The following is a 20132-nucleotide window of genomic DNA, read 5'->3' on the forward strand; positions in this document are numbered from 1 at the left end:
GGTCAGGAGATCAAGACCATCCTGGCTAACATGGTGAAACCCCGTCTCTACTAAAAATACAAAAAATTAGCCGGGCGTGGTGGTGGGCGCCTGTAGTCCCAGCTATTCGGGAGGCTGAGGCAGGAGAAGGGCGTGAACCCAGGAGGTGGAGCTTGCAGTGAGCCGAGATCGCGCCACTGCACTCCAGCCTGGGCGACAGAGCAAGACTCTGCCTCAAAAAAAAAAATAAAAAAAAATTCCTCAGAGAAATGGCAAAGTAGGGGGTGAAAAACCTCTGAATTCATTTCCTACACCAGTTAAAAGCTGAATCTCAAACCAGAAAGCAAAAGATTCAAACTTTAGGCTTGTGTTAATCTAAAGAGGGAGGGAAAAGTTTTGTGAAAGAATAAAATGTTACTCAGAAGGTAAAGTGTAAAGGATAACTTTTAGCTTCAGATGATGCTAGAGCAGGGCTTGGCATTATGTCCTGTAATGTGCCACCAGTCTGTGAATTCTCAACCTTACCCAACAATAATAACATAGCAGGATGGATACAGGGAAATTTGATGACCTTACAATACAAGATCTATGCATTTCAAATAAGACAGAAATTGAAGGACCAGAATGTTAGCAAGAGCTATTTATGTTTATTTTCTGGACAGACTTTGTTCAAACTTATAGAATGTAATACTAATGGTCTGTACACCTTCTCTTTCTCAGAAGAGAAAGCACAGATGGAGTGACAGAAGCTCACTTATTTTTAAACAAAATTAAGCAGTACCCAGCACCATTCCCGCCCACAGAAACACAAAACTACCTACCCATCTGCATCCAACAGTTGGCTCTGAGTGTCATCTTCTAAACAGAACTGGAAGTCTCCTGCTCCTAGGAAAAGTGTCTTAGGCTCTGGGGAGGCGTTATACAGATCCTGGGAATCCTCTATGGGAAGTGAAGGCTCAGACAGTTTCCCTGAACTCTGGCACACAAACAAAAACAAACAATAACAAAACATTTTACAAATGTCAGTCATTGTCATGACAACCACAAAAGTTGCTATTTGCAATATTTAAGCTACTCTCAGGAAATTGTAGTTGAGGGGGACAATACACAGCCATGAGAAGCATAAAGAAAAATACCTCCAAGAAAGTAAGAATACTGGATGAAGCTTGTTTTTAATACACAAAGGGGGTGGATTTTTTAAACTGAACACACATAAGCTCAGTACCAACGTGGTGGGAGTTGGTTGGCTGGGACAAACTTTATTTAGCAATGTGGGAAGCAAAGAGAGGAGGAGATTAGAAAAACCATTACCATCTTACCTTAGAAGCTGAGCTGACCAAACTGGCTCGAAATAGCCCAGGGGAAGGAGATCTGAATCCTCCTGCTGTAGGGAAAAAACTGGTCCCACGGCCTGTTTGTCTGTTGCAAGGCTGATAGGATGGAATCGTGGAGCCAATCAGCTCAAAGCTGCTATTGTGGCTGCTCTCCTTTGTTAGCAATGAACATGAATCATCCTCATCTAAAGAAAGAGAAACACCTTTTAAGCACATGATTACAGAAATAAGGTGGATTTGTTTAGGAAAAAGAGTTGAGGATGAAACTGTCAGATAAAATTCATAGGCAAACCCCTCAAGTTATATGTTCCAAAACATTAAGTTAAAGGTAAATTACAGTACTAAGATAGCATTATATAATCAGGGCTTATTACTCTGAGCTAAGTGACACTTGAAAGTTCTTTTTTTTTTTTTTTTTTTTTTTTTGAGACAGTCTCGCTCTGTCACCCCAGCTGGAGTGTAGTGGCGTGAATTCGGCTCACTGCAACCTCCGCCTCCCAGGTTCAAGCGATTCTCCTGCCTCACCCTCCCAAGTAGCTGGGACTACAGGCGCGTGCCACCACACCTGGCTAATTTTTTATATTTTTAGTAGAGACAGGGTTTCACCATGTTAGCCAGGCTGGTCTCGATCTCCTGACCTCATGATCCGCCTGCCTCAGCCTCCCAAAGTGCTGGGATTACAGGCGTGAGTCACTGCGCCTGGCCGAAAGTTCTCTTCTTTCTCTTATCCTTCCTAATGCCTATGATCACACTCTTCATTGTCCAATCAATTATACGTCTTCCTTTGATCTACATACAGAAACATTTCATTGCTCACTCAATCAACACACATTCACTAAGGACATTATGTACCATGGTCTACTATAAATAAACTGCAAAAAATAGACCAAGAAAAATATTCTAATTCATAAACCCTTTTCATAGCTACATATGAAACTGGGAAGTGACCAGATTTAAAAACATGGAAACTTACCGTACTGCAGTCCTTAAATATCAAAGCTGAGGGACAAAAGAAATGTTAAGTTCTGCACAAGAATCACTACTTACCCAGTTTGCTAGGCTGCTTGCCTGAGTTTTCATCTGTTTCTGATTTTTCTTCAGTAGGAAAGTAACTGCAAAATAAGAAAGTAAATTGGTTCAGTATCTGTTCCTAGTTTTTACAGGAGGGGCAAATCCAAGGCAATTTTAAGTTTTCTTAGAGAGAATCACTTACCCCATCTTGGAAGAGCTGTCCTTAAACAGAAGTAAAGTAGAATCTGATGAGAGAGACTTGGGAACAGAGAGGAAGCCAACTGCCTTGCCAATTTCACTACTGCCATCATTATTTTCTTTATCCATTTCTTTTTCATCTTTTGTTTCTATTTCTTCACTACTAAGAAGGAATTCTGCAGTCTTTACCAATCAGGCCACCACAAAACAAAAAATACAAGTCAAAACATTTAAAAGCAAATACACTGGTAGCCTGAAATATGGCTGATTGGTTACAGATCACATCTTAAATTCAAAAAGGTAAACTTGAAGGAAGTTCCATATGACCATTATCAACATAATTTTCCCTGACACTTCTAGAACTTTTTTCTATTTTTTTTTTTTACCTTCTACCCTCCCGAAATTGCTAAGATTATAAAGGACGACTGGATTATCATTTTATTGAGGCAGTAAGAGGTTAATTAATCAGTCTAAGATTGCAGGCTGACTACTGATCTCAAACCAAGCACAGACTGAGACAGGCTGTATAGCTCAGCCATTGCTTTCTTTCTCCTTTACCCAAAATTAAATAATAACTCAAGTTGCTGGGCATGGTGGCTCATGCCTGTAATCCCAGCACTTTGGGAGGCCACAACGATGGGAGGATCACTTGAGGCCAGGAGTTCGAGACCAGTCTGGTCAACATAGTGAGACCCTCATCTCAAAAAAATTTAAATAAATAAATAAAATAAAATAAAATAAAGTGATCCCAGCATACAAAAAGGAAAGTTTTTTTTTTTTTTTCTTTTTTTGAGATGCAGTCTTGCTCTGTCGCTCAGGCTAGAGTATAGTGGCACAATCTTGGCTCACTGCAACCTTCACTGCCCAAGTTCAAGCAATTCTCCTGCCTGAGTAGCTGGGATTACAGGTGTGTGCCACCACACACAGCTAATTTTTGTATTTTTAGTAGAGATGGATTTTCACGATGTTGGCTAGGCTGTTCTCAAACTCCTGACCTCAGGTGATCCACCTACCTCAGCCTTCCAAAGTGCTAGGATTACAGGCATGAGCCACCCTGCCCGGCCCAAAAAGGAAAGTTTTTTAATACTTAACAATCGTATCATCACCTGTTTTCCCTAGGCAGAAAACAGTACTACGGAACAAGGGCAAGAGGCCCTTCTACAAATGCCTTCTTCTACAAAGAACGAAAATAACTCAGAAAGGCCTCTACCTCCCTAAGAATTTACTCCAGGCCTCAATCTAGCCAAGGTTAGGACTGCTTTTTAATCTGCTAGAGAAACCTAAATAAACAACAAAGATAAAATTTCCTACGAATACAAAGCCATTTTTAATATTAGCATTATTATATTAAAATATATAAACAGGTGGAAGCCCAGGCAATGGTATTCTGTCAGTACCACTGAATATCTGTATTCAGATATATAATGATGATCTACAGATATTCAGTGGTACTGACAGAACTGAAGTTCCTAAGATTTAGGGATATATGAGGTAGTTACCCTCATCATGCCCCTAAAACCTCTTATACAATTGAACATGCTTATTATACTCTTTTTCAAGTCTGACTTTTTCTCTCATATTCACCATGACAAGGTAACAAAACAACGTAATTGCCAGAAACCTCCTGATTTCCTTCTTCTTCCTCCTCCTCTTCTTTCTCCTCCTCTTCCTCTAGTTCTTCCTCTTTCTCTTCTTTCTCTACCTTCTCTTCTCCATCTTCCTCAGACTCATCTGTCATTTCTTCCTCTTCCTCCTCCTCTTCCTCAAACCCATCTTCATTATCTAATTTAAACAGTGCTTGGCGCTTCTGGCGCTCCTCAAACCTTCGGAGTTTCATTGCTTCTTGCAGTTTAGCTTTTAACACCTGAAGCTTTTCACCTGAACAGAAATATGTAGAAATGCTTTAGACATAATACAATAATTAGGTATGCATTTTAGGCAACTCCAGAAATATTCTAGTCACATCCCAAAAGGAAAATCTGAGACTCTAGTATTCTGGGCTTTTTTGTTATTTGAACACAAGAGTATTATTATGAATTGAAGTATCAAAGAGAACTTCTGCACCCTAGATAGTATACTACTCAGGGATTATAAAATAATTGTTCAAAAGAGAGAAAAGGTGGGTAGGGAGTAGAGCTTCAAGTCTGTGGCTCAAAAGCCATGAAGAAAAACATTGATAAATTTACCTATATTAAAGAAAAAGAGAAACGACTCGAGTAAAATGAGCTAATGATATGAACTGGCAGTTCACGAAAAATAAACATATATTGTTAATAAATTAAAAGTAATGCTTAATCTCACTTCTAATTGAAGAGCTACAAATCAAAATAACGAGATACATTTTCGACATGTTAGCCTGGCAAAAATTAGAAGGTTTGATAATACCTATTGAGAGGAAACAGGAACTCATACACTGTGATTCAGAGTGGTACAACCATTCTGAAAGACAACTGGATGATATATATCAAAATGTGATATATATCATGACAATTCCACTGTAAGGAATTTTCATCTAATATACCACCATATATCTGGCACTATAATATAACACTGTATGCAATAGCAACAACTGGAACAAACAAGACATCTGTCAATACGAGTATGGTTTAATGAGTCATGTTGTATTCATTCAATGGAATATTATGCAGCCATTTTAAAAAAAGCCTCAAGGCCGGGCGCAGTGACTCACGCCTGTAATCCCAGCACTTTGCGGGGCCAAGGTGGGCAGATCACGAGGTCAGGAGTTCGAGACCAGCCTGGCCAACATAGCGAAACTTCATCTCTACTAAAAATACAAAAATTAGCCAGGCATGGTGGCAGGCACCTGTAATCCCAGCTATTCGGGAGGCTGAGGCAGGAGAATCACTTGAACCCAGGAGGTAGAGGTTGCAGTGAGCTAAGATCGTGCCATTGCACTCCAGCCAGGGTGACAGTGCAGGACTCTGTCTTAGAGGAAAAAAAAAAAAAAAAAAAAAAGCCTCAAAAGCAATATAAAGTAGATCTGAGCTCTGGAGTTAGGTGGTCTGGATTAGACTACTGGTCCTACCATTTATTAGCTGTGTAAACTTGAGCAAGTGTCTTAAGTGCTCTGCATATCAGTTTCTTCATATACAAAATAAGGATACTAATGTTATTTACCTCATAGGGTTGTAAGGATTAAATGAGATAAAACATATAAAGCACCTAGAGCAATGCCTGACAGGGAGTAAATGTTCAATGTCACACACATTCACAAAATACGGTATATGGATAAAAATACTCCTATAAAGACATACAAGAAATTGTTAATAGTTATCTTTGGGAAGACTAGTTTTTCATTTGATACCTTTTTTCAGTGTTTAAAACTGTTTTCCATGTGATATATTACTTGTGATTTCAAGGGAGGGGTGAGAGCTGTCCTTAATACATTTCTAAAACACAAAGCAGAATGCATGTTATGATCACATTATAGGTGGGTTGTTTTGTTTTGGGTTTTTTGTTTTGAGACAGGGTCTCACTCTCTCGCCTAGGCTGGAGTGCAGTGCCACAATCATGACTCATTACAACCTCAACCTCCTGGCTCAAATGATCCTCCTGTCTCAGCCTCCCAAGTATCTGGGGCCACAGGTGCAGGCCACCATGCCTGGATAATTTTTTTTTTTTGGTAGAGATGAGGGCTCACTATGTTGCCCAGGCTGGTCTCCAACTCCTGAGCTCAACAGATCCTCCTGCCTTGTCCTTCCAAAGTGCTAGGATTACAGGCATGTGCCACTGCACCCAGCCTGTTTTTGTTTAAATTACATATACATATGTGCAAAGAAGAGAGTTTAAAAGGATACACGATATGGTTATAGAACCTGTCTCTGATAGAAGATTAAGTTTTTCATTTATTCTATATATTTGTCTATAATGGGGTTTTTTATAATAAGACAAATGATATCTAAAAAAAAAATAAAGCCAGCTTGTCCACCCCACACCTCTAGGTGTGCTACACGTGAATCATGCCAGAGATACTGCTCTGCAAAGCCTCCAAGGAAAAAGATTCTATAACTTTTCATTATAAGGTTTTCAATAGCCTTGAAGATCTGTTAGAATACAAAGCAAAAAGCAAAAAACAAAACCTGTGGGCTCAAATACCTGGTTTTGTGTGGCTTGCTCCATCCAACTTCTTAGGTGCTAAAGTCACAGGTACCACATCTGCTTTTAGCTCTTCCTTTCCATCAGTGCCCATGTCTTTCACTATGACGTTCACATTCACTGTCTGACCAGCCCTGGGTTTGGCTGCTGGATTAGCATGCTTCCAGAAACGCTGCTTCAAGGCTTCCAGTTCTAAACCCAAACGCCAACCAGTGTGTCAGTTTGCCATGCTCAAAACTCTTTCCTTTAAGACTTATAAGCTAAGTTTTTTTTAGCTCAACAATTATGAGGGAAACCACACATACACAGAGAAACCAAAAACCCCTTGCTACTAACTCCTGAGTCAAATTCATACAACTTAACCCAAACTAATTGACTGCCACAACTGTTCTTCCTCAACGTTTCAAAAATCAGACTTTAAAAAATCAGACAGAAATTTATACCTGAAATTTCTAAATATGTGCAATTCTTTTGAACATTCTTTAAAAATTCTTTAAAAGTATTAAACTGGTAGGAAAAAAGATTATAATCTCATCTATTCAAGGGCTTAATTTTTCATGGGTTTTGGTCTCCTTTTAAAATTCCCTATTTGTTATTGCTGTTTTTTGTTTTTGTTTTGAGATGCAGTCTCACTCTATTGCCCAGGCTGGAGTGCAGTGATGTGATCTCAGCTCACTGCAACCTCCATCTCCAGGGTTCAAGCGATTCTCCTGCCTCAGTCTCCTGAGTAGCTGAGGTTACAGGTGAGCACCACCATGCCCAGCTAATTTTTTTGTATTTTTAGTAGAGACAGGGTTTCACCATGTTAGCCAGGCTGGTCTCGAACTCCTGACCTCAAATGATCAGCCCACCTTGGCCTCCCAAAGTGCTGGGATCAAATTCCCTATTTTGAATGTTTCATTATTGGCAATCTTACTAAATATAGGCAAAGTCAATTTTTTTCAAGAAGGGAAAATAAAATGACAATCCAGTCAGTGATATAACTAAGCAGCAGGACTGTAAAAAGTTTTTTGGTGAAAACTGTTACACTAGTACAATTGGTACAATGAGAAAGAAAATACTGCAGCCCCAGTACCACATGCTCAACTTGTATACAAACGGAAATATATATATACTGGGAACAGTAAGTTCAGCAATCCAATAGTGATATAAACTTACCCCTCTTCCCCACTGCAATATCTTAGAATTTCCTTCTCCCTCAGCTAGCTGTTACCTGGAACCAATCCCTACTCACTCTGCTTAACACTTCATATCATAATGGAATCTGTGATGAGAGCTGGCAGTTTTAAGGAGAAAGTTCCTTTGGAGTTGATGCACACTGGATATTTTCAGGCGGCCTTCTCGTCCATGATAAAATGGTTTATTTTTAAATGGAGTCTCGCTTTGTCGCCCAGGCTGGAGTGCAGTGGTGCAATCTTGGCTCTCACTGTAGCCTCAATCTCCCCAAGCTTAGAGGTGATCCTCTCACCTCAGCCTCCTGAGATAGCCAGGACTATAGGCATGTACCACCATATCCAGCTAATTTTTTTTTTTTTTTTTTGAGACGGAGTCTCACTCTGTTGCCCAGGCCAAAGTGCAGTGGCATGATCTCGGCTCACTGTAACCTCCACCTCCTGGGTTCAAGCAATTCTCCTGCCTCAGCCTCCCTAGAAGCTGGGATTACAGGCATGCGTCACCACACCCAGCTAATTTTTTTATTTTTATTTTTAGTAGAGATGGGGTTTCACCATGTTGGCCAGGCTGGTCTTGAACTCCTGATCTCAGATGATCCACCCACCTCGGCCTCCCAAAGTGCTGAGATTACAGGAGTGAGCCACTGCGACTGGCCGATTTTTGTATTTTTTGTAGAGACCGGTTTTGCCATGTTGTCCAGGCTGGTCTTGAACTCCTGGACTGAAATGATCCACCCTCCTCAGCCTCCCAAAGTGCTAGGGTTACAGGTGTGAGCCATTGTGCCCAGCCACTTTTCATTTGTCTTTTTAGAGACAGGGTCTTGCTCTGTTGCTCAGGCTGGAGTGCAGTGGTGCGATCACAGCTCACTGCAACCTTGACCTCCTGGGTTTAAGCATTCCTCCTACCTCACCCTCCCAAGTAGCTAGGACTACAGGTGCATGTCACCACATCTGGCTTTGTTATTTTTTGTAAAGACAGGAACTCGCTATGTTGCCCAAGCTGGTCTCAAACACCTGGCCTCAAAGCGAACTTCCCACCTTAGTCTCCCAAAGTGCTGGGACTATAGGCATGAAACTTGACTAATTTTCTAAAATGCACTCAAATCATACTTCGGTGTTTTTGTGACTAGCATCTAGATGTGTTTTTTTCCTCTAGACGGTCTTACTAGAAAAAGAGAAAAATGAAGGAAATCTTTTTATCCTGAAACCCCAACATTATTAGCAGCAAAAACCCAACTCTAAAGGATGGTATGTTTACATTGCAAACAAAAGAGTAGAGAGACAAGCTGTAAGTCTGCCTCCTATTTTGCAGTGGTTCAGTAAAGCTGAAAGCAACAGGTGGTAGCAGGGAAAAGGGAACAGAAATAGGCAGGTTATTATGGGTGCCACTAGGGTAAGAGAAATGGTTGGGTGGGAAGATTACCTGGGACTTAAAATAGTAGTCAGGCAAGAGGTATCTTCATTCATAACTGGAGAAAGCTAGGATCCTCAAAGCTCTTCCTCCCCCAACCCATTGGAGCAACCACTTTCTTTGGCCTTTATTACATGATGCAACCATCACTGTCTTCATCCTAAAACCCCTGTTCAAGTTCCTCTACCTCCATTCATCTCTATTAGTCCATCACCTCTCATCCTCCATCACCTCTCATCTCCTCTCTTAAGTGAAAAGTCTCTTTCCTAGCTTATCTCTATCAGCAGCATAAGAACTGTTCTCATTCACATTGCTCTTGTCCAGAAAGTAGAGGAATTAGAGGCAGGGATTATTCCATATGCTATTGCAAGCAACAGAAATAATGTATTTCTGACATCACAAAATTTAAATTTACATGCATTTTCTCATGGAAACCTTATTCTATATGAGGTAAAGAAACTGAGCTGTTCCCACTGTTTTTACTCTTAACCCCTTCCAATGCATCCACCACAACAGCTACCAGATTTAACTTCCTAAAGTGAGTATCTGATTGAACATTTCCTTTGCTGAAAACCTTTCAGTGGTCCTCTACTTACAAAGAGCTAAAGTCCAAGCTCCTAGCATGGCATAAAAACCCTGAATGATCTGGGCTCTGATCACCAATGTCCTTGCTATCTTCACTTCAGCCAGGGAGATCACCCTGTGCTTTCCATTGTCTCTGACATCTGCAGGTCCAACCCCTCCACCAAAAAAGCCCTCCCTCACCTCTCTGCCTTGGTATCTCTACTGAGCTCATTTCAGAAACTTCCCTGACTTCTAGGCTCCAAGTAAGGTACCCTTCCTCTAGGTTCCCAATGCACCCTCAATTATATACCTTGATCGCAGCACTTACCATCCAGTATTGTAATGGTCTGTTTGCCTGTCTATCACTCCTATTACACTTCAATTTCTTTGAGAGCAGGGAGTGTTTTACGTGTATACACAGCACCCAACACAGTGCTAAATAAAAGTTTATTGCATGAATGAATGAATGAATGTTGATTCTAACTTCATGTATATTATGGCTGGTCTGGAAACCCAAATTTCGTGTCAATTATTTCTAAAGGAAAACATGTTCCAAGTTAAAAAATAAGTGCTCATTATATGCCAGCCACTGTGTAGGTCCCTTTATAAGCCAAGTATAATGCTGGAAAAATTACCTAACCTCTCTGAGCCTCAGTCTCTTCATTTTGCAAAATAATACCTGGCACTGTGAGAATTAAGAAAGACAACTAACAAAGAATGTACCAGTGTCTAATATAGTTGGTACTCAAAAAATGTTTCTCCCTTTCCTATCAGTCTAGGACTGTTTAGGTAACTTTTAGTCCCATATAACAAAAACTTTCCCTCAGTGTTCCGGACAACAGCTTATTCTCATGCTTCTTTGCTAATGGAGCTATGCTAGTTCTGTTATACAACTCTGCCACCTGAACCTCCAGCCCTGGTCAAAGTGACTTTCACATCTTCCCAATACGCACCACCATGCAGAGTTCTTTCTGTCCTTCTCTCCATCTCCAAAGTCAACCCATTCAATTATCAGACTCACTAAGCATATTTTACACACCAGATACAGTGGCTGACATAGCACTTGCCAACAATAAGCTGTTTAATGAAACAGAATCTTTTTTGTGTGTGTTTTGTTTTTCTTTTTGTTTTAATGAGACAAGGTGCTCTTTCTATCCTCTCCATCTCCAAAGTCAACCCATTCAATTAACAGACTCACTGAGCATATTTTACACACCAGATATAGTCACTGACATAGCACCTGCCAACAATAAGATGTTTAATGAAAGATAATTTTTTTGTGTTTTTTTTTTTTTTATGAGACAGGGTCTCGTTCTGTCTCCCAGACTGGAGTGCAGGAGTGCAATTTCAGCTCACAACTCACTGCAGCTTTGACCTCCTGGGCTCAAGCAATCCTCCCACCTCAGCCTCCTAAAGTGCTAGAATTACAGGCATAAGCCACTGACTATGCTTGGTTTAATGAAAGAGTCTTGGCTGAGTGTAGTGGCTCACACCTGTAATCCCAGCACTTTGGGAGGCTGAGGCAGGCAGATCACCTAAGGTCAGGAGTTTGAGACCAGCCTGGCCAACATGGTGAAACCCTGTCTCTACTAAAAATACAAAAATTAGCTGGGTGTGGTGGCGGGTACCTGTAATCCCAGCTACTTGAGAGCCTGAGGCAGAAGAATTGCTTGAACCCAGGAGGCGGAGGTTGCAGTGAGCCGAGATCGCAGCATTGCACTCCAGCCTAGGTGGCAAGAGCAAGTGAAAGCCCGTCTCAAAAAAAAAAAGTCTTGATGTGAACCATTTCACTAATAATAGTAGAAGCAGCAACAACTTTTTGAGTGCTTGTTTATACTATCCATTTGCATGCATTATTTCAACAAATCTTCACCATAGCCCACAAGTCATATAGTGCTTTTTTCTTTTTCTTTTTTTTTTTTTTTGAGACAGGATTTCATATGCTGCCCAGGATGGCCTTAAACTCCTGGGTTCAAGTGACCCTCTTGTGCCTCAGCCTCCCGAGTAGCTGGAACTACAGGTGTGCACCACTGTGTCTGGCTTTCTTCTCTTTTTTAAACAAAAGATGCTTGAAGAGGTCAAATGGCGTATACAATGTTAAACAATTACTATGCTAGTTCAGATTCAAATCCTGGTCTTGCTACAAAGTCTAAGCTCTTAACCACCATTCCATACTGCCTCAAGGCAGAGTGGGGAGCATCCAGCTCTATCTAAGAGTCAGGAAATTTATTCAATGTGGTAATACTTGAGTTCAGTGTTGAGGGATCATTCATTCATTTGATAAATACAAGTGCCTACAATGTGTCGTCCACTGAGGAAGCACTAGGGATAGAGTAGGGAACAAGGCAGAAGATACCAACTCACAGTATAAAGGGAAGGCAGTGAACAAGTAATTAATCCACCTATTCTTCAGGCTGTCTTTTAACTATTCATTGGAAGAAATTTATGCTTCTCTGAATTCCCACAGTACTTTATTCTAAATGTTCTTTAAGAAAATACTTTTCCTTTTTCTTCATGTTATTTATTTTCCAATTATCAATGACATATTCATTATCAAAGACATCATTTACCATTTTCTCCTTTGTACTTCTTATTTGCATACTTCTTATCTCGCCCATTAGAGTAAAAGCATCTTAAGTATACCTTAAATGTCAGATTTATCTTGGTATGCCCCACAGCAACTTACTCATAGTAGATACTTTAATATTTGTTGAATGAGTGAAAACAAAAGAAATTCGGTTTCACAGATAATTTAAGTGAACCAAAATGTTTCTCTTTAGCAGTAAAAAACTAAATGATGTTTTCATCAATGTCTTAAGATTTGACTCAGGATTACAGAAAAAACTTAATTTCAGATTGGAAAGGCAGAAATAATAAATTCCTAAATACCATAACACAGTAGCAATGTACCTCTTTTTTATATTAACTATCAACAACCTTTTTTTTTTTTTTTTTTTTTTGAGACAGAGTCTCGCTCTCTCACCCAGGCTGGAGTGCAATGGTGCAGTCTCGGCTCACTGCAACCTCTGCCTTCTGGGTTCAAGTAATTCTCCTGCCCCAGCCTCCCGAGTAGCTAGGACTACAGATGCGTGCCACCATGCCCGGCTAATTTTTGTATTTTTAGTACAGACGGGGTTTCACTGTATTGGCCAGGCTAGTCTCAAACTCCTGACCTCGTGATCTGCCCGCCTTGGCCTCCCAAAGTGCTGGGATTACAGGCGTAAGCCACCGCACCCAGCCAACAGACTTCCATTTTAAACATGGCTTAGATCATTCTGATACCCTGCCAAATTTCTCTAAAAAAGACTCTGCCCATATCTGGAACAACTGCAGGATAAGATCAAAGTGGTTATTGGTTCCTCCTGTGTTCTCTGTCCTCGACAGTAGTCAATAATCAAAAGCTACCAGGATAATCACTCCAGGGAGGCTCCCCACAATGTAAAGGATTACCTCTGTTGGTTTCAGGTTCAAGTATCACAAAGGAATCTTCATCAGCACCTAGCCGTGGTTTAATGGAAACATCTACTCCCAGTTGCTTAAGTCTATCCAGAGTAAACCGTCTCACTTTTTCAGGTGGCCCAACTGCTGATGATTTATTTTGCTGCTCAGGCTCTTCCACTTTCTCATCTGTTTCTTCTGGATTTTGGGGGCCTTCACCCTCCAGGGCATGAGGTTCAAATGCTACAAGCCCTCCAACCTGACATTCCTCACTGTGATTGTTCCCGAGGAAGTTGGATTCCTGTTGCAACACTGAGCTGTCCCCAGGTGAAGGTCTAATGTCACTCTGCTTCTGTTTCTCCTGAATTTCTAGCTCTTCATTTTTTACCAAATCCTTCCTGCAAGACTCATCTGATCCAGTAATGATCTGGGTTTCCTTTGAAACTACAGGGAGTGCATTAGTTTCCACTTCATTTTCTGCACCTGTTGTCTGCTCAGAACCTTTACTATGGTGATCACTGTTCATTTCAGTAGTATTTGCAGTGTCTATGATTTCTTTGTGATGGCTTGACTGATATTTAGATGACCTAGAGAAGAGAAATTGAGCTGGAGTTGAAAATTATCCTAAATGTGAAACATTCTCATCCCTTAGTATATATCAGTTAAATCAGTTTTAAGGGAGTGAGAAATCTGAACTTTTTATGCCAGATGTTTGCTACAAAACTAAATGTTCATGAAAATTATAATAAGGAAAGAGGGTTCTTACTTCAATAGTGCCATGGCATTTCCGTGGCAAGTGGGCCGGGGTTTACGTTTGAAGAAATCATGAATGGTTTTATTCTCAGGCATATGATATGGAAGGTTCAGTGCAGACTCTATAAAATGGAATAAAACAAGCAAATATATATACTGTATATTCTGAAATGTCACTTCATATTCAGTTAACTAAACATAATAACCAAAGCCATCACTAGAAATAGAAAACTCCCCTTTAACAAAGGCAGAGGAGCTAAGTACAAAAAAGCTCCCTGAAGACCAGTGGCTTTTAAACCTAGATGTGAAATCAAAATGATCCAGGAAGTTTTTTAGAAATACAGATTCTTGGATCCCATTTCGAATCTACTGAATCAGAATCTCTGTGGGACCTAAACATTTATATACAGTAGTCCCCGCTTATCCAGACAGACACATTCCAAGACCTGCAGTGGATGCCTGAAACTGCAGATGGTACTAAACCATGCAGTGTTTTTTTGATCTGATAACTGAGAGGGCTACTAACGGACTAACAGGCAGGTAATGTATACAGCGTGATACTCTGGACAAAGGGATGATATTTTTAAGTTCCATGGACCATGGCTGACACAGGTAACCAAAACTGCAAATAGGGAGGGATTACTACCTCTCCAAAGAATCCTGACACAATCAGTCCATAGACAACCATTAAAAAATTTCCTCCTTACCTGCACTACAGTTCTGAAAATTTCTTCAGTTTATACTAATGTTCCAAGGGCTTTAGAACAATGGCCTTTCACCAAGATCAATTCTAAACTTAATATTATAACCTGAGTTCACATTAGAAGTGTTAAAAAAATAAAAGTCCCCAACATCCAAGTTGAGCTTACAAAGAAATGTTGTGATTTTGCCTCAAAGTTTACTGGGTTGCATTACCTCGAATAAGGCGCTGAGTCTCACTATGCAGTTGTTTTAATGCTTCTTTACTTAATCTGGCTGCCTTTCTTTCCTTAAAGAAAACAAGAAGTGAGACTACATTAATTATATGAATATCCAGAAAGATAGATATTCATCACTCAAGAGTTTGCTCTCTCCAAGAAAAGAGGAAAGGAAATAGTAAGCATGAGTAAGCCCAAATGCAGTATAAACTCAAGGAATTCATTTATTCCCAAGTCTCAGAGAATTTGTTCAATCCAATCCATATTTTGTTCCTACTATGTACAAAGCAATATGATGGGTAACAGAAAAATATGATAGACAAAATAAAATATTTATCCCTAAGAAATCTATAATCTCCTGTGTAAAGAGATCAGTGTGACTAATATACAGGGCTCTACCTCACCTTCCTCGTGGTTCCTTTTGATAACTCACTTCCTTCCTCAAATGAATGGACCCCACTCTCCAAAGATGGTTCTTTTTTCTAAAAGAAATGGCAGGTTGATTAGGACAAAAACGAAATTCAAATAAGAGGATGCTTTAGCTGAAGACTACTTTTGTAGTCCAACACCACATCATGCTACATTAATAAATCAATAATCATCAACTAGAAATTATTAAACACACAGCATCCTATTATGCTTAGAAAACAGATACCTCAGATGGAGTCTGGACCCTTATTTCTTTTACCTCTGCTTACATCTTTCCCTAAAGAGGGATAATAACTCGCAGGAAGCTAAAAAAAAATCTTAGGAAGAAAAATTATGCTTCCAAACACTCGGGACAACAATGTTTTGACTGATGCCTCTCTTTGATACCCTTCCTGAAACCCTATAGGGTTCATTTCTCAAAGGCTATAGGATTGCAAAATTTACATCTCTTCCCTATTATTTACCTGCATCTTACTACACCATCAAATATCTTAGTGGTTTTTTTTTTCAGCATTCCTAAAAGGGTAATAACAAAACACTAGTTTCCAAAGAAGTTAGCATGTCTATCACTTGTACTGCAAGTCTCCAAAATTAACAGCTGAAACACTTAAGTCAACTGACACAAGTTTTTCTTCAGTTAAAAAAAAAATTAAGGTTCCAACAGTAAATTAAAAATATAGCAAAGGTCAGAAGCAGTTGATTAACTCTTATTGCAATCATGCTTTACTTGCCTTGTGCTTTTTTACTTTGTTTTTTACAGCTGCTCTTATTGATTCTAATGACTCTTCATCTTCCAATGGAGAGTTATTTTCATCCTCCAACCCAGTTTCAAAAAGGTCTTTATCCACAAGAAGACAGCCACTGTCATTAAATGGCTGTTCTACATCATCTTCCTAAGTAATACATAAACAAAAAGCATAATCCAATCATTTAAAAATCCAGTATTTCACAACATCATATGGCAATTTGGATCAGGCCAGAAAAAGCCCATGTTTCATCAACAGACAAGCATATAAAATCTAGAACATTCTTACTGGTTTCTAACTCACATGTATCCTTTGAAGTCCAAGTTGTGATTTTATGCAACTGTCTAAAACTAACTTAATAAACAGTAAATATTTTTTTGAAGTAAAATACTTGTTAAGCAACTAGTTTATAAATTTGAGGATGGTTTTTCTAGTTAGCAAACAAGACTACTGACTGATAGATGCATAAAAAAGCCTTCTTTCAGTTAATTTTCATCAGCTCAGAGACAGCAAAGAATTACTCCATGTGCTCATAAAGAAAATCAGAAACCCATTTATTTGGAAATGTCCTCTGCATACCCAAAATAGAATAAGACCAATAAGTTTTGTTTTTTTGGTTTTTGTTTTTTTTTTTTTTGAGACAGGGTCTCACTCTGTCATCCAGGCTGGAATGCAGTGGTACAATTACAGCTTCATTGCAGCCTCGACTTCCTGGGCTCAAGTGATTCTCCCACCTCACCCTCCCAAGTAGTTGGGACTACAGCTGGGACTACGGCCACCACACCCAACTAATTTTTAAATTTTTTGTAGAGATGGGATCTCACTCTGTTGCCTAGGCTGTTCTCGAACTCCTGGGCTTAAGTGACCCTCTGGCCTCAGCCTCCCAAAGTGCTGGGATTAGACGTATGCACCACTGCACCTGGCCAAGACCAGTTAGTTTTAAATCACATACCTATTGAGAATAATTCTCAACACAAAATAGTCAATTCAAAGCAATAGTCAGAGAGCAGAAACAACCTCAAGTACTAACAGCAACCTTTTCTAAAATGTTAACCTACCCAAGCAATAGCAAATTATTCTTTAAAATGTACCTGGTTTTTTGTTTCCTTCTTTTTTAGCTGTCTAATTTTTTCCATTTTTCTCTCCTCTTTCTCAAGTCTTCTTTTTGATTTTACTTTTGCTTTTCCTGCAGTTCCTTCTTTATCATGTATGTGCTTTTTGGAACTCTTTCTGTCAGTGGTAAAGTCTGTAGAGTTTCCAGACTGAAGACTCAGCTCTAAGCAAGGTTTCACTTGCGCTTCAAGATTTTCCTGATACAAAGACTTTTCCATGTAACTTTCATCACTGTCTGCCACAGTTTTGTAAATCCTTTTGATTTTTGTATTTTTCCCAGCATATAAATTCTCTTTATTTTCCTCCTCGGCACTGTCATAGGTAGTTTTCTCTGGAGAGGCATTTGTGTCCTCTGTTTCGGAATCACTGTCTTGTAGAACCTTCCTGTTTTTCAACTTCTTACTTACAAATATCTCTTCATCTGAATCTGGAGGAAACAATTTTCTTTTAATTATACCATCATTTGATCTTCCTCCTAGTCCCACTACTCCTCAAAAATATATTTTTATACAAGTGATATATAACATTGTGAAATTACGTGACTACTGTTAAGAACTGATTGTAGCAAAGCAAATCTAAAAATACATTTTGAAAAACATTTTCCCTGGGAAAAATGTCTCTTACTGGGAAATGTAATTTTACGTATATTTACAATGTGTAAAGTTGTTCTAACCTCCGGCAGGTGTTAAAATTCCTTTTATTATAGGATGAATGCAATTAACCAGGCAATATGGTAGCTATTAGACATTCAACAATATAACATAGTTTCAAAAAGGTACAAGCACTGTTATTTTGCTTTTATAATAAAACAAACAATAAGGATGGGGCATTAATAATGTAATAAATCAAGAGAATAATGAAATCAATCCAATCTACTTACAACTGAGGCTCCCGCAACCTATTCCTAAAAATAAAAGTACTATTACAAACCTCCTTCACTCAAGGGTCCAATTGTTTCATAGCTGCCCTGTCCACTATCTGAAGGACTATCTGCTTCCTCTTGTGAAATGACGTTTGGGTCATTGATTTCTAGGTGAACCTAGAAAATGACAATATACTTTATATCAACCAGCAGGTGACCGAAAGCTCCAAGTACATAATGACACACAAATCATCGTGGGATCATCAACCTGAACTAAGGAAAGAACCAAATACAATGGTTCCTTGAAGGGATGACATTTAGAATTACTGGACAACAAACAAACAAAAGTTCATTTTTCACCTTTGAAGGATGCTAACAGAACCAACTCTTTTAGTAACGGTAAAAAAAAAAATGAAAAGAATCAAGCATTTATTATGCCTTTTCTGTGTGAACTGTTCCCCAATATATCCATACAATTGATGAGGGGAAGTTTCTATTTAGAGAAATATCCTAATGAATTAATAAATGATAGAATTAGATTATCACAATTTTATCAACCCTCAATTAAATAACAGACCTAGGCAATTATCATTAATGGCTGCTAACATCACCAAAAGAGAAACAACCAGACATTATGTGCTGCCTAATAGAAGTACCCAATACTAGCCATAAAGTATTCCTGACAGAACAATCAAATTTGAATCCTATCAAGTCTCTAGATCTAACTAGCAAGTTATAGGAAATAGAGGGAATAGGGGAACATGTTGAATAATACCACAGATATGCAATCTAGACGTGGGAAATTCTACAAGTCAAACTGGGTGGTTTCTTTCTCTCTCTCTCTCTTTTTTTTTTTTTTTTTTGAGATAGAATCTCGCTCTGTCACCCAGGCTGGAGTGCAGTGGTGCAATCTCGGCTCACTGCAACCTCTGCCTCCTGGGTTCAAGCGATTCTCCTGCCTCAGCCTCCTGAGTAGCTGGGATTACAGGCGCACATCAACACACCCAGCTAATTTTTTCTATTTTAATAGAGACAAGGTTTCACCATGCTGGCCAGGCCGGTTGCAAACTCCTGACCTCAGGTGATCCGCCCACCTCGGCCTCCCAAAATGCTGGGATTACAGGTATGAGCCACTGCACCCGGCCGGTTTCTTTAACAATATATTGCAAAGAAAAAAAAAAGAGAGGGAGAGAAACCTATAAAGAAAGTTAACACATAAGTGAATGTATATATGTGTGTACGTATGTATATTTCTATATATTTATATATGTATGTATATTTCTATATGCTATGTGTATATTTCTTTTTTTTTGAGATGGAGTTTTGCCGTTGTCGCCCAGGATGGAGCGCAACGGCGCGATCTCGGCTCACCGCAACCTCTGCCTCCCAGGTTCAAGCGATTCTCCTGCCTCAGCCTCCCGAGTAGCTGGGATTACAGGCATGTGTCACCACGTCTGGCTAATTTTGTATTTTTAGTAGAGATGGGGTTTCTCCATGTTAGTCAGGCTGGTCTCCAACTCCTGACCTCAGGTGATCCGCCCGCCTCAGCCTCCCAAAGTGGTGGGATTACAGACGTGAGCCACCACGCCCGGCTATATGTATATTTCCTTTTTTCTTTTTTTGAGACGGAGTTTCGCTCTTATTGCCCAAGCTGGAGTGCAATGGCACGATCTTGGCTCCCTACAACCTCCGCCTCCTGGGTTCAAGCGATTCTCCAGCCTCAGCCTCCCGAGTAGCTGGGATTACAGGTGCGTGCCACCATGCCCGGCTAATTTTTTGTAGAAACGGGGTTTCACAATGTTAGCCAGGCTGGTCTCGAACTTTTGACCTCAGGTGATCCGCCTGCCTCAGCCTCCCAAAATGCTGGAATTACAAGCGTAAGCCACCACAACCGGCCCTGTATATTTCTATATACATAAATGTATGCTTTATATATGTATGTATATCTTAAAATACATACATATATGCATATATACACATATATAATATAAACAATTACAAAATGCCAACTTCGGATGATGATTCAAAAAACTAAAAATGTAAATAATTATGCTAAAGTGGCATATAAAAATAAATGAAATATCTCTGA

The 20132-nt window shown here is 39.5% G+C and overlaps 1 protein-coding gene across 3 annotated transcripts in view; it reads right to left on the reverse strand.

The window, feature by feature from the left end:
* The window catches only part of CLSPN (claspin), a 49766-nt gene that overhangs the window by 26894 nt on the left and 2740 nt on the right, over positions 1-20132 (reverse strand). For 2 of the 3 annotated variants that reach the window (NM_001330490.2, NM_022111.4), the window contains exons 2-14: positions 18112-18220; positions 17160-17608; positions 16054-16215; positions 15298-15375; positions 14892-14964; positions 13990-14098; positions 13236-13810; positions 6639-6830; positions 4144-4400; positions 2527-2705; positions 2361-2425; positions 1299-1498; positions 801-955 (exon numbers count right to left, since the gene is read on the reverse strand). In NM_001330490.2, coding sequence (NP_001317419.1) covers positions 801-955; positions 1299-1498; positions 2361-2425; positions 2527-2705; positions 4144-4400; positions 6639-6830; positions 13236-13810; positions 13990-14098; positions 14892-14964; positions 15298-15375; positions 16054-16215; positions 17160-17608; positions 18112-18220 — 2603 coding nt within the window. The remainder of the gene's footprint in view (positions 1-800; positions 956-1298; positions 1499-2360; positions 2426-2526; positions 2706-4143; positions 4401-6638; positions 6831-13235; positions 13811-13989; positions 14099-14891; positions 14965-15297; positions 15376-16053; positions 16216-17159; positions 17609-18111; positions 18221-20132) is intronic. The other variant, NM_001190481.2, reaches the window with a different exon arrangement.

This window comes from Homo sapiens, chromosome 1, assembly GCF_000001405.40.
Source record: "Homo sapiens chromosome 1, GRCh38.p14 Primary Assembly".
Taxonomy (NCBI): Eukaryota; Metazoa; Chordata; class Mammalia; order Primates; family Hominidae; genus Homo; species Homo sapiens.